The 16,916-nt window shown below is 42.7% G+C and overlaps 1 protein-coding gene across 32 annotated transcripts in view, besides 1 other annotated feature; it reads left to right on the forward strand.

Moving 5' to 3' along the window:
- The window catches only part of MTHFD1L (methylenetetrahydrofolate dehydrogenase (NADP+ dependent) 1 like), a 236,186-nt gene that overhangs the window by 36,110 nt on the left and 183,160 nt on the right, over window positions 1–16,916 (forward strand). For all 32 annotated transcript variants that reach the window (NR_146719.2, NR_146720.2, NM_001242767.2 and 29 more), the window contains exons 8-9: window positions 3,839–3,950; window positions 16,766–16,857. Coding sequence is in view for 30 of the 32 variants with exons in the window: in NM_001242767.2 (NP_001229696.1) it covers window positions 3,839–3,950; window positions 16,766–16,857 (204 nt within the window). In the remaining 2 variants the exon portion in view is untranslated. The remainder of the gene's footprint in view (window positions 1–3,838; window positions 3,951–16,765; window positions 16,858–16,916) is intronic.
- Window positions 4,630–5,135: an enhancer, noted in NCBI's record as "H3K27ac-H3K4me1 hESC enhancer chr6:151227577-151228082 (GRCh37/hg19 assembly coordinates)". NCBI's record gives its function as "activates a minimal SCP1, AML or CMV promoter by ChIP-STARR-seq in primed H9 embryonic stem cells {active_cell/tissue: H9 hESC(primed)}" and the evidence as "EXISTENCE:reporter gene assay evidence [ECO:0000049][PMID:30033119]".

Below are 16,916 nucleotides of genomic sequence, written 5' to 3' on the forward strand. Positions count from 1 at the left end.
CATTTTGAACATTGTTTTCTTTCTTTTTTATTCAGCTGACCCTCATGAGGAATTTAACTTGGTTTTCTGAACTGTGTTGGTAACATTTGAAGGACATAGAAACAGTTTTCATAGGTCTCAAGTGATATAAACCACAATTCTTTAGAAAATATCTTTTTTTTTTTACCCATTCTGGATTTTGAAATATATACAGATCTCATACCTCAGATTCTCATATGATATGAACTGTTTCAAAACACATTGATAGCAGAAGATACATACTGTCTTCTAGTCAAGAGGGTAGCGCTGTATTTAGTTTAAAACATTTTAATGCATTTTATTTGCTAAATACAAAATTATAATATTCTGTATAACTTTCCAAATCTCATCTGTCCTCCCTTTCCCCCATCTCTTTATATTCAGATGCTTGTCCCTCCAGCTTAAAAATTCATGACTTTGAGAAAATTCGTCTTCATGTTATCTAAACTACTGCACCCCCACACGCTCCCTGTTAAGTGTCTGCATATCTGTGTCTTACTGTTGTTTAAAATTCACTTGTCTGCCTGGGGAGTGGGGTGGTTTGCTTTAAGCTGCTCCACTCAAGTCTCAGCAGAGAAAGCAATAATTTGTTATGAGATAGAGTTTTAAGCCAAGCTTTGGCCAGGGTCTCTCCCATTTGGGAGGAGGAAAATAGGAACAAGTGAGATGATAATTTTCCTTGAATTTTAGCTCATTAAAATCTTCCCTTGTCCTGGGCAGGCTATTTACTGATTTAAGCATCTAGCACTTTTCCTTTCCAGAAAGAATTAACATCTATGATGCAATCATTGCTAAGGGAGGAGGTTTTTGTGTTTTCTCTGTGGAATTAGCTGTTCTCCAGTTGCAGATGAGCACAGCCCACTTTAGAGTTGTGTGTAGGTATGGAGTTGAGGGGTCGGAATGAGATTTCCAAGATTTATAGGTAATGAAAAGAACAGGTTGTATCAAAGACACCACGTGTAGGAAACTAACTGTTCTTAGGGGACTTGTGTGAACCTGTGATCCTTGGCTTTCTCCAAAATGAACATTTCAGCCTTGTTCATATTAACCTCCTTTTTACAGTTGTTTTACCGTGTTCTGGTTTTGCTGCTATTCTGCCTGAAAATCTAGCAAAATGGCGTTTCTTATCTGCAGAACTGCGACAAAGCTTAAACATTTGTATTTCTCTTGAGGATTACTGTGGTTGAATTTTTGACAGTACTATATATAAATGAAGAAATAAAATTTTTTATACAGATGTTTAAAATCCTCTTTCCACTAGAACATTTCTTTCTCCCTAAATATACTATTACCTGGAACTCTAGCTGTTTTTCAGATCTGTAGAGATCATAGGTGGCTTAAGGGACTAGATTGCTGGTGATATTGGCTGCAAAATTTTTTTTTTTTTTTTTTTTTTTTTTTTTTTTGAGACAGAGTCTTGCTCCATCGCCCAGGCTGGAGTGCAGTGGTGCAATCTTGGCTTCACTGCAACCTCTGCCTCCCAGGTTCAAGTGATTCTCATTTGGCTGCAAAGTTCTTAGTGAGGTTTAGTGGTATTTTGGCCCTGTGGCACAGAAGAATGGTTATTTAGCAAATGTGTTTTGCTTTTGATTTTGTTTTGTTTTTGAGACAGGGTCTTGCCCTGTTGCCCAGGCTGGAGTGAAGTGGCTCGATCACAGCTCACTGCAGCCATGACCTCCTGGGCTCAAGCGATCCTTCCACCTCAACCTCCCAAGTAGCTAGGACCACAGGCATGCCTCACCACACCTGGCTAATTTTTATTTTATTTTATTTTTGTAGAGACAGGGCCTTACTATGTTGCCCAAGCTGTTCTCAAACTTTTGGGCTCAAGCAGTCTTCCCACCCTGGCCTCCCAAAGTGCTGGGATTACCCAGCATGGCAGCATGAGCCAACAGGTCTGGCCTCGGCAAAGGTTTTAGTAGGGCTTTCTCTTTTCTTTTGAAGATGATTAATACAGTAGATTCATACAGCCAGAAGCTGAAAAGCAGGGAATACTGTTTGGCTTATTAATGGATAATCAATCAGTGTTAATACACTTTTCCCTATTTACATGGTCAAATTGATCAAATATTTCCAAGGTATTAGCTTTTAAAAGTTGACTTTGTCAGCTCTATGAAAAGACATGCATTTACATTTTTATCGTGCTCCTCCTCTGTCAGGGGACTTGGATCTGTCCTTGATCTTGGCTTTTCTGTTCATAAACCAGGTAGGACTGTCATGGGTTTGCTCCCATTACCATCTCTTGTCCCAAGATTTCTAAAAGGCATCACCTGATGCACCCTTTTGCCCAAATAGTGTTAAAAGTCCTCAGGCTGAGGAGCTGTCCTGGTTCTTCTACAGGATCTTTAATGATCAGCCTGTCTAAGCTGAGAATGGATAAGGGTGTCCCCAACACGTTTATTTGGTGGTTTGGTGGGGGTAGTGACACTGGGGATGCTTTTGTGTGTTGTAATCTGCCCCTCTGTCTGTTTGACCCCAGAGACTCTGTGGTTAGTTGCAGGACATCAAAATACGCAGGAAAGACAGTGGGGGAAGAGACCATCAGTCGCCCTCTTGCTGCCTAGGTTCACTAGAATCTCTAAGACTGAATTCACTAGGAGACACAGGACATACCGTAGAGCTGTTTATGTCTTGAGAGCCCCAGTTTCCTAGTCTGTTAAATGAGCATAGTAACACCAATCTCACTCCTTTGGAATATTCAATGGTGTAATACTTACAACATCTAGCTGACCTGTACAATTATAGCTATTCTCTTCTGCAAGTCTAATATTCCTATTCACCCCTCCCTCTGCATAGGGATCCAGTTTGAAATCATCAGTTGCTCAGTAGGGCCTGGGGAGCTAGCTGGTCATTCTTTGGTTAAAGTCAAAGCCAACCTCTTTGCCTACCTTTTTGTCTTAATGTCAACTTCCTACCAGACATGTTCCTCCCGCACTGGATGATCAAAATGCAAATAGGATGGACACGATCAATGCATTTTGTTGGAGTGGTTGCATTCTTTCTACTTTCTTAGGGCAAAAAAATGAATGGTTGGACAAGAGACTAACCAAGGCCTCAAAGAAAGTGAAATTCTTTCTCAAGCTCCTGAAAGTCCTTTCATGGGTATAGTAACAGTTCTATAGGGGTCTCATTGTGATGGTGCCATTATACAGGCCAGCAAGCCCCCTGTGTGAGCCAGACCTCATGGCCTTAGCCCTTGTTTTCCTCTTTTTTTTTTTTTTTTTTTTTGAGACAGGGTCTCGCTCTGTTGTTGGAGTGCAGTGGTGTGATCTCGGCTCACTGCAACCTCTGCCTCCTGGGTTCAAGTGATTCTCGTGCTGTAGCCTCCTGAGTAGCTGAGATTACAGGCCCCCACCAGCACGCCTGGCTAATTTTTGTATTTTTAGTAGAGACAGGGTTTTACCATGTTGGCCAGTCTGGTCTCGAACTCCTGACCTCGTGATCCACCTGCCTCAGCCTCCCTAAGTGCTGGGATTACAGGTGTGAGCCACTATGCCCGGCTGCCCCATCCTTTTTCTTGATATTATAGTTAGTGGTGAAAACATGTAAATGATAATACTCCATGCAGTATGTATGCTGAAGTGACTACCCTGAAGACATTTTTTAAGTCCTATTTTCTTTTCTTTCTAGGATATGATAATCATTTTCTGTTTGTATTAATACATGCTTGAAAGGAATTAGTAAAGCGATTCCATCCTTGTCAGCAGCTTGGAACAAAGCTGTGGATCTGGGATTGTGTAGAACTCATTTGACATCAGTAGTTACTTGTGTCTTTATGCCTCAGATCAAGATGTGCGTGTTTTTTTCTTTCTCCTTTTAGCTTCACGAGGCTGACATTGTGGTCCTAGGCTCACCTAAGCCAGAAGAGATTCCCCTTACTTGGATACAACCAGGAACTACTGTTCTCAACTGCTCCCATGACTTCCTGTCAGGTAAATGTCTTCACATTGGTGTTGAGCCACTGATTAGGTCAGATAGTTCAAAGAAATGTTAACCTTTTCCTAAGAGGTTATGTTTCTGAAATGTTAGCAGTCGTCAACATTAATATATAGGGTAGGAAACTTAGACTGTGGGCTACCTGATAGAACCATGCTGTTGAGCAAAGAGAGACCAAGATGGCGGTTGAGGTGTCTGCTCCCACAGTGAAGTGCCCCCTACTGGCCTCTAGCAGTCAGGTCAGTTGTGACCTCAAGTAGATGATTTGTATGTGTGTGAGGTAAACTAGAAATAGCGGTTTTCACAGTTTCTTAAAAATTAGTAAAACCCTTTCTTCCAAAGAAATCTTCGTGGAATCTCACTATGTAAAAGCAGATGAGCGCCGGATTGTTGGGAGGGATGGGAATAGGATCAGCCTGTGTGTCTCCCTGATTTCCTCTTGCATTGACCCATGAAGCACATCCTTGGAGCCCCAGAGTCATCTCAGAACAGTATGAAAATCACCACTAGATGCAGAAACTGTTGTAGGATTGGTCCTGCTATTTGATGGCATTTTGCCAAGGTATCCAGGAATACTCAAGACCACACCAGGCCCACTTTGGGGGCAGCCCAAGCAGTGCCCGCAACAGGGCAGCCAGCAGCCCCGGGTCCAGCAGGAGCCGGCCCAGAGTGGGTTCCTTTTTCCAGTTCGTAGAAGGACTGAGGCTAAGAAAGCCTTGGAGCACACCCAGGCCCTCAGCAAGTCCCTGAGTAGCACAGGTGAGCCAGAGACGATGGCACAGGGAGGCAGAGGAGAGCCCCTCTTCCTGATTCCTTCTGGCTTTGGCCTCCAAATGTTTGTGTGGAAGAGAGGACTGTGCTGAGCTGGGCTGGAGGACAGGGGCAGCTTTTATCCCTAAAGCTGGGCAGAACATGCACCAAGGTTGGCAGCCTCTGCTCTCCTTCTCCTCCACCAGGACCATACTTGAGGTTGAAATCTTGAAACCTTGTAGGCAGCTCCATAAAAGCATGAGCCCTAGCCAGAGGTTGTTACTGACCCTCCTCTCTAGGAAATGTAGCTCCTGCCAGAATTGACCGATCAGATTAAAAACCCCTTGGGGGCTGGAGAGGGTGGAATGGAACAGAGTCCAAGGAAAGAGGCATTAAGAGCTGTGGCCCTAATGGCTCTTTTTAACAAACAGAAAGCATGTACTAAATAACATTTTAAAAATATGTGTAATTTATTCATATAACTTTTTTTCCCCTGAAAAAAAAAAAAAACAAAGCCTAACCTATTAATAGTGGACAGGGCTTCCTCTGTTCAGCATCCCAGTCAGATTAGGAAAATCAGTTCCAACATTTGTTTCTTGTAAATGAATGCTGCTTTGCTGTAATATTTACTTGCTGTGTTTTATTAAAGTTTTCATGTAGGACAGTTTTGGCAGTCATGGCTGGAGATAGGAGTCTACTTTGATGTTCTGGAATCTCTTTGAGCTCTGTGGTTATATGACAGTGACATATATTTTGTTAGTGAAAGTGCTTTATTTTTAATAAGGTTTCCTTTTAGGACCCTTATTTTTGAAAAAAAGTATTCCCTGAAATATTAGATATCAATGTAATGATTCTCTGGGGGAAAAAAAGACCAAGGCGTTACAGATGTTCCTCGACTGACCATGGGGTTATGCACAGATAAACCCATCAGAAGTTGAAAATATCATTAGTAAAAAATGGGCATTTGTAGCCAGGATGGGATGTGAAAACAGAAAACAACGTCCAAAAATGCTGGCAGCACAGTACGCTGTAGAGTATTGGTTGTTTGGCCTCGTGATTGCATGGCTGACCGGAAACCACGATTTGCTGTCACTGCTGCCCAGCGCCTCAAGACAGCCTTGTTCTTTGTATAGCTGGCCTGGGAAAAGATCAAAATTTAAAGCACAGTTTCTACTGAATGCATGTCCCTTTCCCACCATCATAAAGTGGAAAAATAGTAAGTGAAAAGGTTGTAAATCAGGGATGGTCTGTGTATTTCAAAATGATTCTATAAGTAGAATTTATTTGAAATTTATCTGGCCCAACTGTAATAGTTTTCTTGTTGGTTTTTGAATGCCCAGTGTCCAGAATAGTACCTGACGCTTAGTAACCGCTCTGTGAAATTTTTTTTTTTTTTTTGGAGACAGAGTCTTGCTCTGTCACCCTGGCTTTAGTGCAGTGGGTGTGATCTTGGCTCACTGCAACCTCCACCTTCTGGGTTCAGGTGATTCTCCTACCTCAGCCTCCCAAGTAGCTAGGATTACAGGTCCCTGTCACCACGCCTGGCCAATTTTTTTTTTTTTTTGTATTTTTAGTAGAAGTGTGGATGCACCATGTTTGCCAGGTTGGTTTCGAACTCCTGACCTCAAGTGATCCACCCACCTCGGCCTCCCAGAGTGCTAGGATTACGGGCATGAGCCACTGGGCCTGGCTAACTCTGTGAATATTGAGTGTTTGACAAGTTAATAAGCATGAATCAAAATTCTACTCTGCTTGTAGTTTTAAGTTAGTGGCATGTTTAGAAACATTTCCTTGAATTTGTCTCCCACTTAAAGATGGGGCTGATGGCCAGGCACAGTGGCTCACGCCTGTAATCCTAACACTTTGGGAGGCCGAGGCAGGTGGATCACCTGAGGTCGGGAGTTTGAGACCTAGCCTGGCCAACATGGTGAAACTCTTGTCTCTATTAAAAATACAAAAAAATTAGCTGGGCTTGGTGGCAGGTGCCTGTAATACCAGCTACTCGGGAAGCTGAGGCAGGAGAATGGCTTGAACCCAGGAGGTGGAGGTTGCAGTGAGCCGAGATTGCACCATTGCACTCCAGCCTGGATGACAAGAGCTTTTTTTTTTTTCTCAAAAAAAAAGAAAAGAAAAAAAAATGGGCTCAACTAGGCAGTCATTGAGATAAAGATGAGGAATGCTATGTTGATGAAACAGATGAACAGTTTCGGGGTGGTGCTACCCATAATAGCACATTTCTAAATAGTCTACAAGTTTTAATTTTAGCAACTTTGTTTAGTATGAAAATTTGATCTAGGAATAATGGAGAAAGGTTTTTTTTCCCCTCTTTTTTTCATAATCCCACTACTGTAAAGAAATGAATAAACTTTTTGAAATATTAAAAAGAAAAGAGCTCTTATTTAAACTTAAGATGAGAAGAACTTTTAATAAACTTGTGGCTGGGTGAAGACAGAGTTTTATAATGAAATTTTTATTCTTACCTTCATGGTACAGAGTCCCTCCTCCTTACCCCCGTAAAAATAGATGGGATGTTGTGATTTATGATGAGGCAATTCTGTAGAGACATTTTATGGAATACGTAATCCTAGGAGAGATTTTCCTGATGGCTAATATCCCAGACACAGAGCTCAGAAAACAATTATACCCAGCTAGTTGGTTCTGTTCACTCTACTATTGCATGAGTCCAATGTTTAGATTTTAAAACAAGGAAATTTCAACATTCTGTTTTCTAGCTGTAAGAGTAACTACTTTAAAAAAAAAAAAAAAGACAACCAAAAAAACCTATTTCTTAGAAAAAGTCTTGCTCTGTTGCCCAGGCTAGAGTACAGTGGCACGATCACAGCCTCAAACTCCTGGGCTCCAGCAATCCTCCCTCCTCAGCTAATTAAAACAATTTTTTTTGTTGTTGTTGAGGCAGGGTTCTCACTGTGTTGCCCAGGCTGGTCTTGAACTCCCGGCCTCAAATAGTCCTCCCGCCTCCACCTCCAAAAAGTGCTGAGATTACTGGTGTAAACCACCATGTCTGGCCTAAAAAAATTATTTCAAATGAAAAAACTACGCACTGCTCTTGTAGTGCCCTGCTTGCTAAACAGCAGATTTCATCATAAGCAAAATCATTTTGTACCCTAAATATTAGGACTTATTTACTGATGTAACAAATGGGACCAAGGAGAAGCTGGTCTTCCGTCTTAGGCTCAGAAAACAGTATCAAAACAGCAACTCTGTGGCTCAGAGTAATTTATAGCATCATTTTAAGCTAATGTAATTCTATTTAGTGTGGAAGAGGGGAAGAGCCCTGGGATGCTGATGTGCTGGGGGTCCCGAGGGACCTTGAGACTTTCTCTCGTATGGCTCTGAAGGGAGACATTAGAACTTACTGGAGGCTGGGCGTGGTGTGGCTCATGCCTGTAATCCCAGCACTTTGGGAGGCCGAGGCCAGTGGATCACTTGAAGTCAGGAGTTCGAGACCAGCCTGAGCAACATAGTGAAACCTCATCTCTATTAAAAATACAAAAGTTAGCCGGGCATGGTGGCAGGCACCTGTAATCCCAGCTACTTGGGAGGCTGGGGCAGGAGAATCGCTTGAATCCAAGAGGCAGAGGTTGCAGTGAGCCGAGATCACGCCATTGCACTCCAGCCTGGGCAGCAAGAGCAAAGCTCCATCTCAAAAAATTAAAAAAAAAATGTAGTGGAAAGAACATGGACTTTGGAGTCAGGATTAACCTAACTCAAGGACAAGGGAGCTGTTTTTGTAAAAAAAATTCTTGGCCGGATGCGGTGGCTCACGCCTGTAATCCTAGCACTTTGGGAGGCTGAGGCAGGCGGATCACCTGCGGTGGGGAGTTCGAGACCAGCCTGACCAACGTGGAGAAACCCCATCTCTACTAAAAATACAAAATTAGCCGGGCATGGTGGCGCATGCCTGTAATCCCAGCTACTCAGGAGGCTGAGGCAGGAGAATCGCTTGAACCCAGGAGGTGGAGGTTACGGTGAGCTGAGATCGCGCTCCAGCCTGGGCACCAAGAGCGAAACTCCATCTCAAAAAAAAAAAAAAAAGAAATTCTTAATTGCATTGCACTTACAGGCTGTGTGACTTTGAGGAAATAAGCTCTCTGATTAATTAATAAGATTCCCAATTTCTTTGTGGGTAAATTGGGAGCAAGGCTGTTGGGAGGAATGACTGAGATGATACCTCGGGGCAGTGCCTCTTTGATGGTAGCTGCCAATAAATGCTGGTCCACTTCCTGCATTCCTCCCTCCACTTCCTTGTTGCCATGTCACCTGCACACAAAACAGCTTTCAGACTCCATCTTGGCACAATATACATTTATATTTGAAAAATCAAACCCAAGAAAGGAAGAAGTCCAATGAAATTCTGAACATGTAAGAAAAGTCAGCTTTAGAGAAATTGGACATCCGTGTAATTTTCATTATGCCAAAGCAATTGATATAAAATTAGGATCTTTGCTTGTGACTCTTGAACTTTAGTAATTCCAAAATCCATTGTACCTATCACTGTTTTCTTTTATTTATTTTTTCCTGTAAATTCTGGATATTCTAGATCTATCCCTGAAGTATATTGCCAGTTTTCCATTTCAAATTTTAATTAGTTCTCAATACAATGTATTTAATATTTTGCTTTTTTTAAAAAAAGTAAAGGTTCATGTCATTTAGAATATGCAGCACTGTATAAATTTCCTTGTTAATTTGGTTTCAGTGGTCCAAATTAAGTTATTACTAATAGCTTATTAGTATCAGTTTACTAATATTTTAATTTTTTTAATCATGTCTTACATTGCATTCTTTTAAAAACTAGTGATATGCTGTCATTTGACAGTAAGAATTCAAATAATTTAAACTAGGATTGCAACTCTCAAGAACACTGTCACAAAAATTTTACCAAATGATATGTATTAGTCCATTCTCACACTGCTATAAAGAAATACCTGAGACTGGGTAATTTATAAAGAAAAGAAGTTTAATTGTCTCACACTTCCACGGACTGTACAGGTAGTATGATGCTGGCATTTGCTTGGAAGGCCTTCTGGAAGGCCTCAGGAAACTTACAATTATAGTAGAAGGGGAAGGGGAATCACATATATCTTACATGGCCAGAGCAGGAGCAAGAGAGAGGGAGGGCGTATTAGTCCATTTTCGCACTGCTGATAAAGACATACACGAGACGGGGAAGAAAAAGAGGTTTAATTGGACTTACAGTTCCACATGGCTGGGGAGGCCTCAAAATCATGGCGGGAGGTGAAAAGCACTTCTTACATGGCAGCAGCAAGAGAAAATCAGGAAGATGCAAAAGCGGAAACCCCTGATAAAACCATCTGATCTCATGAGACGTATTTACTACCATGAGAAGAGTATGGGGAAAACCACCCCCATGATTCAAATTATCTCCCACTGGGTCCCTCCTACAACACGTGGGAATTATGGGAGTACAATTCAAGATGAGATTTGGGTGGGGACACAGCCAAACCATATCAGAGGAGGAGGTGCATACTACATACTTTTAAAAACCAGATCTCAGGATAACTCACTCACTATCATGAGAACAGCACCAATGGGATGGCGCTAAGCCTTTCATGAAGGGCCACCCCCATGATCCTGTCACCTCCCACCAGGCCCCACCCCCAACACTGGGGATTACAATTGAACATGAGATTTGGTGGAGACACAGAACCAAACCATATCATGATACTCATTTTATTTATTGCATTTTACTTTATATCCTACAAAGTCAATATATTTAACTGAAAAACTGGCTACCAGTGTTTTTGTTTTTTTTTTTCAAGTTCTACCTGTACTGATTTCTAATTTTTAGCCATTCCTGATTTTAAAACCTCGCATACATTTTGGGGATAATTTGTTCTCCTAGATGGCGAGAAAATATTTAAGTCTGTGGGCTTGGAGAATGCTTTTTTGATAAGAAGGATGCCCTTGGCCAGACTGCATAGAAGCTGAGATGTTTCCGCAGAGCCGAGATGGCATGAAGGCTGAAGAATTTTCCTGCATCCCTCCCACTGCAGTGATTGTTCTGGCAAAGTTCCCAGGGTGGTCTCTGCACTGCTCATATTAGTGAAAGGGTGGTTCTGATTTCTGAGGAAGGCATGATAACACTTTGGCCTTAAATTTTCTTTTTGCAGAAAGTTTGATTATCATTAGAAGAATGGCCATCTTTTAAAGTGATTCATTGACTTGTCCCTGGAGAAATCATGAGTTAGATGAGAGTGTTTAGTGGGAAGTGAAAAGACCCGTCCACGGTTTCGGATGAGATCCTCGTTGGACTGTGATCCCAGGATATTACCCAGGCCCAGATCGTAGACAACCTCCCAATGGAGTCCTGCCCCTACACGGGCAGGGGGTGAAATAATGATTCCCTTTCTTAATTTTCTTTAGCCATGAAATTTATTAAAAATGTATGTCTGATTCTGAGTTGCCAGTCTTAATTGCTTGAGATTCTCTGGATTCAGAACTTATTTTTATTTTTTTTATTTTTATTTTTTGAGACAGAGTCTCGCTCTGTCATCCAGGCAGGAATGCAGTGGCGCAACTGCAGGCCCACTGCATCCTGAGCTCAAGCGATCCTCCTGCCCCAGCCCCCAGGTAGCTGGGACTACAGACATATGCCACCATGCCCAACTAATTTTTTTTTTTGAGGCAGAGTCTCGCTCCCTCCCCCAGGCTGGAGTGCAGTGGCATGAGCTCGGCTCACTGCAAGCTCCGCCTCCCGGGTTCACGCCATTCTCCTGCTTCAGCCTCCCGAGTATCTGGGACTAAAGGCGCCCGCCACCACGCCCGGCTAGTTTTTTTTTTTGTATTTTTAGTAGAGACGGGGTTTCACCGTGTTAGCCAGGATGGTCTCGATCTCCTGACCTGGTCATCCGCCCGACTCGGCCTCCCAAAGTGCTGGGATTACAGGCGTGAGCCACCGCGCCCAGTCCCAACTGATTTTTGTACCTTTTCTAGAGACGAGGTTTCACCAGGTTGCTCAGGCTGCTCTCGAACTCCTGGACTTAAGCAATCCTCCTGCCTTGGCCTCTGAAAGTGCTGGGATTACAGGTGTGAGCTACTGCGCCCAGCCTGAATGCAGTCTTAAAACTGAATTAGAAAATCTGAGTGCAGGCTAGAGTTATATATAATTAAGAGAGTGTGGGTTTTAAGTTGTGTCTTAAAATTGTGTTGTTTTTGGTCGAGTCTGGTGGCTCACACTTGTAATCCCAGCACTTTGGGGGGCCTAAGTGGGCTGATTGCTTGAGCTCACGAGTTCGAGACCAGCCTGGGCAACATAGTGAAACTCTGCCTCTACAAAAAATACAAAAATTAAGCCCAGGTGCTGTGGCTCATGCCTGTAATCCTAGCACTTTGGGAGGCCAAGGCTGGTGGATCATCTGAGGTCAGGAGTTTGAGACCAGCCTGGCCGTGGTGAAACCCTGCCTCTACTAAAAAAATACAAAAACTAACCAGGCGTGGTGGCACATGCCTGTAGTCCCAGCTACATGGGAGGCAGAGGCAGAAGAGTCCCTTGAACCCAGGAGGCGGAGGCTGCAGTGAGCCAAGATCGCACCACTGCACTCCAGCCTGGGCGACAGAGCAACAGTCCGTCTCAAAAACAAAAAACAAAAATTAGCCAGGCATTGTGGCATGCGCCTGTAGTCCCAGCTACTTGGGAGGCTGAGGTGGGAAGATGGCTTGAGCCTGGGAGGCGGGGGTTACAGGGAGCTGAGATGGTGCCACTGTACTCCAGCCTGGGTGATCGGGCCAGACCTTATCTCAAAAAAAAGTGTTTTTAATTACTTGTAATTTTAATTGCTTGTAATTAAAAAACAGTAATTAAAAGGACCAAAAGTTAATTTTGCAGGTAGTAAACCTTAGCCTACTGTACGTAAAAATCAGAAGGCCAAGGCAGGAGGATTGCCTGAGTCCAGGAGCTCAAGACCAGCTTGGGCAACATAGTGAGACCCCGTCTCTATAAAACAACTTAACAATGTGCCAGGTGTGGTGGCACACCCTTGCAATCCCAACTACTCAGGAGGCTGAGGTGGACGGATTGCTTGAGCCTGGGAGGTCAAGGCTGCAATGATCGTGATCACATCACTGCACTCCAGCCTGGGCAACAGAGCAAGACCCTCTGTAAATAATAACAGTAATAATCAGAAAGCAACACTGTATGTGAATAAAGTCACCTTACCTAGCTGCCGGTGGACAGCCTTTGGTGTTTCAAGGACTTAGTTTTTATGCGTTCCTGCTTTCGATATTTGTTGACTGTGAGCTTTGGGCTTATCCAGGGTCCATGAAGAAGAAATGGCTCTTCCTTATCTCAGGCTTTTGTTATTTTGGGGTGTTTTAAATTCCTCTCCTGTGGTTACTCAATCCGACCCTACTTGCCTCTCTCTTCCACAAATTTCTCAAATGTCATTCATGGTACCCTTTTAACTCTTACGGACTTACTTGTTTTTAACATATCTTTTATTCACTTTGAATGGAGTTTCGACTGGAAATAGAGGGTAGTGTTGTGTGTACCACCTACCATCTTCAGCTAGACACTTTCAAAGAGTTTGTTTTGTTAATTATATCTTCTTACATGGCTCATTATGCTTGTTGAAATTTGCAAGATGCTTTAAACCAATCCTGTCCAAACCACAGCCTGTGGGCCGCATGTAGCCCAGGATAGCTTTGAATGCAGCCCAACACAAATTCATAAACTTTCTTAAAACACGAAATTTTTTTTGCAATTTTTTTTTTCCTTAGCTCATCAGCTATCATAGTGTTAGTGTATTTTATGTGTGGCTATGGCCCAAGACAATTCTTCTTCCAGTGTGGCCCAGGGAAGCCAAAAGATTACACATTGCTGAAAACTTTAGATGTATCAGGAATCATATAGCTTTTCAAAATAAAATATCCACACTTTTGCTAAGTTCTATGCTATGCAAGTGACTGAACTATACCAGGACTTATCTTGTAAACTTGGAAGTGAAATATTCTTCACTCGCAAGGGTATTTTGTGATTAAATTCTGGAAATATGCATTTATAAGTTGATACCAGCTCCTGGAATGTAACTTTTTCTTTTTTCTTTTTTTCTTTTTTAGATTTTTTGAGATGAAGTCTCACTCTGTTGCCCAGGGTGGAGTGCAGTGGCACAATCTTGGCTCACTGCAGCCTCTGGGTCCCGAGGTCAAGCAATTCGCTGGCCTCAGCCTCTGAGTAGGTGGGACTACAGGCATCTGCCACCACAGCTGGCTAACTTTTTTTTGTATTTTTAGTAGAGACAGGGTTTCACCTTGTTGGCCAGGCTGGTCTTGAACTCCTGACCTCAAGTGATCCACCCACCTCGGCCTCCCAAAGTGCTGGGATTACAGGCGTGAGCCACCGCACCCGGATGCTTTTTCTCATTTCTCCATCGCTTAAAGATAGAGGATTGAGAGAGGCCCGTTTGTGGACACGATCTTAAGTACAGATCTCTAGTGGTTAAAACGAAACACAACAATTCTCTCTCATCCTCTAGACTCTTGGCTTTTGCCTAAATATGATTCATAAAGCTGAAGTGTTGCTAATCTTTAAATAACACCCAAGGGATATGATTATATGATTACCCAACACCCTAATACAGTTTAAGAATAGAGTGATCCAAAGAAGGAGAAAATAGTGTCTTCAAAAATGTTGCTATTAGAAATATTTCTTTTCTCTAAGGGAGGATGCAGGCTAAAGTATTTAGCATGTGTGTTTACTTTTATAAATTTTCTAAGTGATGAAGGAAGGAAGGTAGAATCTTTTTTTTTTTTTTTTTTTTTTTTTTTCAGATAGAGTTTCACTCTTGTTGCCCAGGCTGGAGTGAGTGGTGTGATCTCGGCTCACCGCAATCTCCGCCTCCCAGGTTCAAGCGATTCTCTGCTTCAGCCTCCCTAGTAGCTGGGATCACAGGTGTGCACCACCACGCCCAGCTAATTTTTTTTTTTTTTTTTTTTTTTTTTTTTTTTGGTATTTTTAGTAGAGATGGGGTTGCACCATGTTGGCCAGGCTGGTCTCAAACTCCTGACCTCAGGTGATCCACCCTACTCGGCCTCCTAGAGTCCTGGGATTACAGGCGTGAGCCACTATGCCCTGCCAGAAGTAGAATTCTTATCAACATCTTTCTAGGTTGATAATCAGGTAATCCCTAAAGTTAATACCCTAAAATGCAATTTTTTAGTTTTGATGGAAAATTGATTCTATCCCTTTTTTTTTTTTTTTTTTTTTTTTTTTTTTTTTTTTTTTTTTGAGGTGGAGTTTTGCTCTTGTTGCCCAGGCTGGAGAGCAATGGCACGATCTCAGCTCACTGCAACCTCGGCCTCCCGGTTCAAGCGATTCTCCTGCCTCAGCCTCCTGAGTAGCTGGGATTACAGGCATGTGCCACCACGCCTGGCTAATTTTGTATTTTTAGTAGAGATGGGGTTTCTCCATGTTGGTCAGGCTGTTCTCAAACCCCCGACCTCAGATGATCCACCCGGCTTGGCCTCCCAAATTGCTGGGATTACAGGCGTGAGCCACCATGCCTGGCCGGTTCTATAACTTCTATGATAGAGAATTTTTAAATTATCAAAAAAGCCTGATCTTTCATGTAACACTTTGACCAGTCTTACCCTGTGAGTGTTTTCATCTGCCTTCTCACGCTTTGCATCCACAAGTGAAAGTGCTTCTATTTTTCTATGTATTGTACAGTAAAGATTTTAGAGCTTTCTAGGCCAGGCATGGTGGCTCGCACCTATAACCCCAGCACTTTGGGAGGCCGAGGTGGGCAGATCACTGAGGCCAGGAGTTTGAGACCAGCCTGGCCAACATGGTGAAACCCTGTGTCTACTAAAAATACAAAAATTAGCCGGGAGTGTTGGCAGGTGCCGTAATCCCAGCTGCTAATAAGGTGGAGGTTGCGGTGAGCTGAGATCGTGCCATTGCACTCCAGCCTGGGTGACAGAGAGAGACTCTATCTCAAAAATAAAAAAAAAAAATTTTTTTAGATCCTTCTAATAAGATGAAGCCCACTGTGTCAAAAAAAAATCTAAAGGTTAGGATATGAAGTCATTCTGACAGATTATGCTGTGGAAGAATATATATCCCTGTTCCTTTCTTCTGAGCCTTACTTTCATGTTAATAGTTTAAACTACATACTATATGCCAAGAACTTTATATACCTTATCATATTTCATTTTCACAAAATTTTAGGAGGTTGATATTACTCACATTAATTAACAGGCCCAACATCACAATTTCTAGCAAGAGGAAGAGGTATGCTTTTAATGCAAGTCTGACTCTGAATTCTGTGGCCTAATCTGCAGTCTATGTTGCATCCACATGTTTTAAATGTTCGCTATGAATTCTCTTGAGCTATTATTTCTATCTCTAATTATGCCATAATTTAAAAATCAGAATACTTGGGCTCGTGTGAAGAGATGGTGTGCCTAGATGTTTCTTCCTGGCTCAGTGTGAGATATGATTTTGAAAGCACATGATGTGCTTCATTACATTTTTTAAATCCATTTATCCCAGGTTAATAGCTTAGATGGCCTTTTTTTTTTTTTTTTTTTGAGATGGAATCTTGCTATGTCGCCCAGGTTGCAGTGCAGTGGCGTGATCTTGGCTCACTGCAACCTCCACCTTCCAGCTTCAAGCGATTCTCCTGCCTCAGCCTCCCAAGTAGCTGGGACTACGGGTACACGCCACCATGTCCAGCTGATTTTTATATTTTTAGTAGAGATGGGGTTTTGCCATGTTGGCCAGGCTGGTCTTGAACTGACCTCAGGTGATCCACCTGCCTCGGCCTCCCAAAGTGCTGGGATTACAGGTGTGAGCCACTGCACCCGGCCAGATGGCCATTTCTCTAATGTAAAATGTGAAGCAGGCCCAATGGAGGGCCCCAAGCCTGTGCCAGAGGTGACCAGTCTGCAGCCGTGCCCCGACATCCTAACTTCCTTGGTGAAAAATGAGACCACTATTCAGTGTGCTAGCTGTTTACAAGGAGCAATTGGTTAGAAATGACAGTGTACTGAAAGTCTTTTTTTTCCCTCCAATTTTTTACAGGGAAGGTTGGGTGTGGCTCTCCAAGAATACATTTTGGTGGACTCATTGAGGAAGATGATGTGATTCTCCTTGCTGCAGCTCTGCGAATTCAGGTTTGTTCAACATAGCTGTCTGAGAATCTTGAGTTTGGAAGTTTGATTAATAGTTGCTA

The sequence above is a fragment of the Homo sapiens genome, chromosome 6, assembly GCF_000001405.40.
Source record: "Homo sapiens chromosome 6, GRCh38.p14 Primary Assembly".
In the NCBI taxonomy this organism is placed as follows: Eukaryota; Metazoa; Chordata; class Mammalia; order Primates; family Hominidae; genus Homo; species Homo sapiens.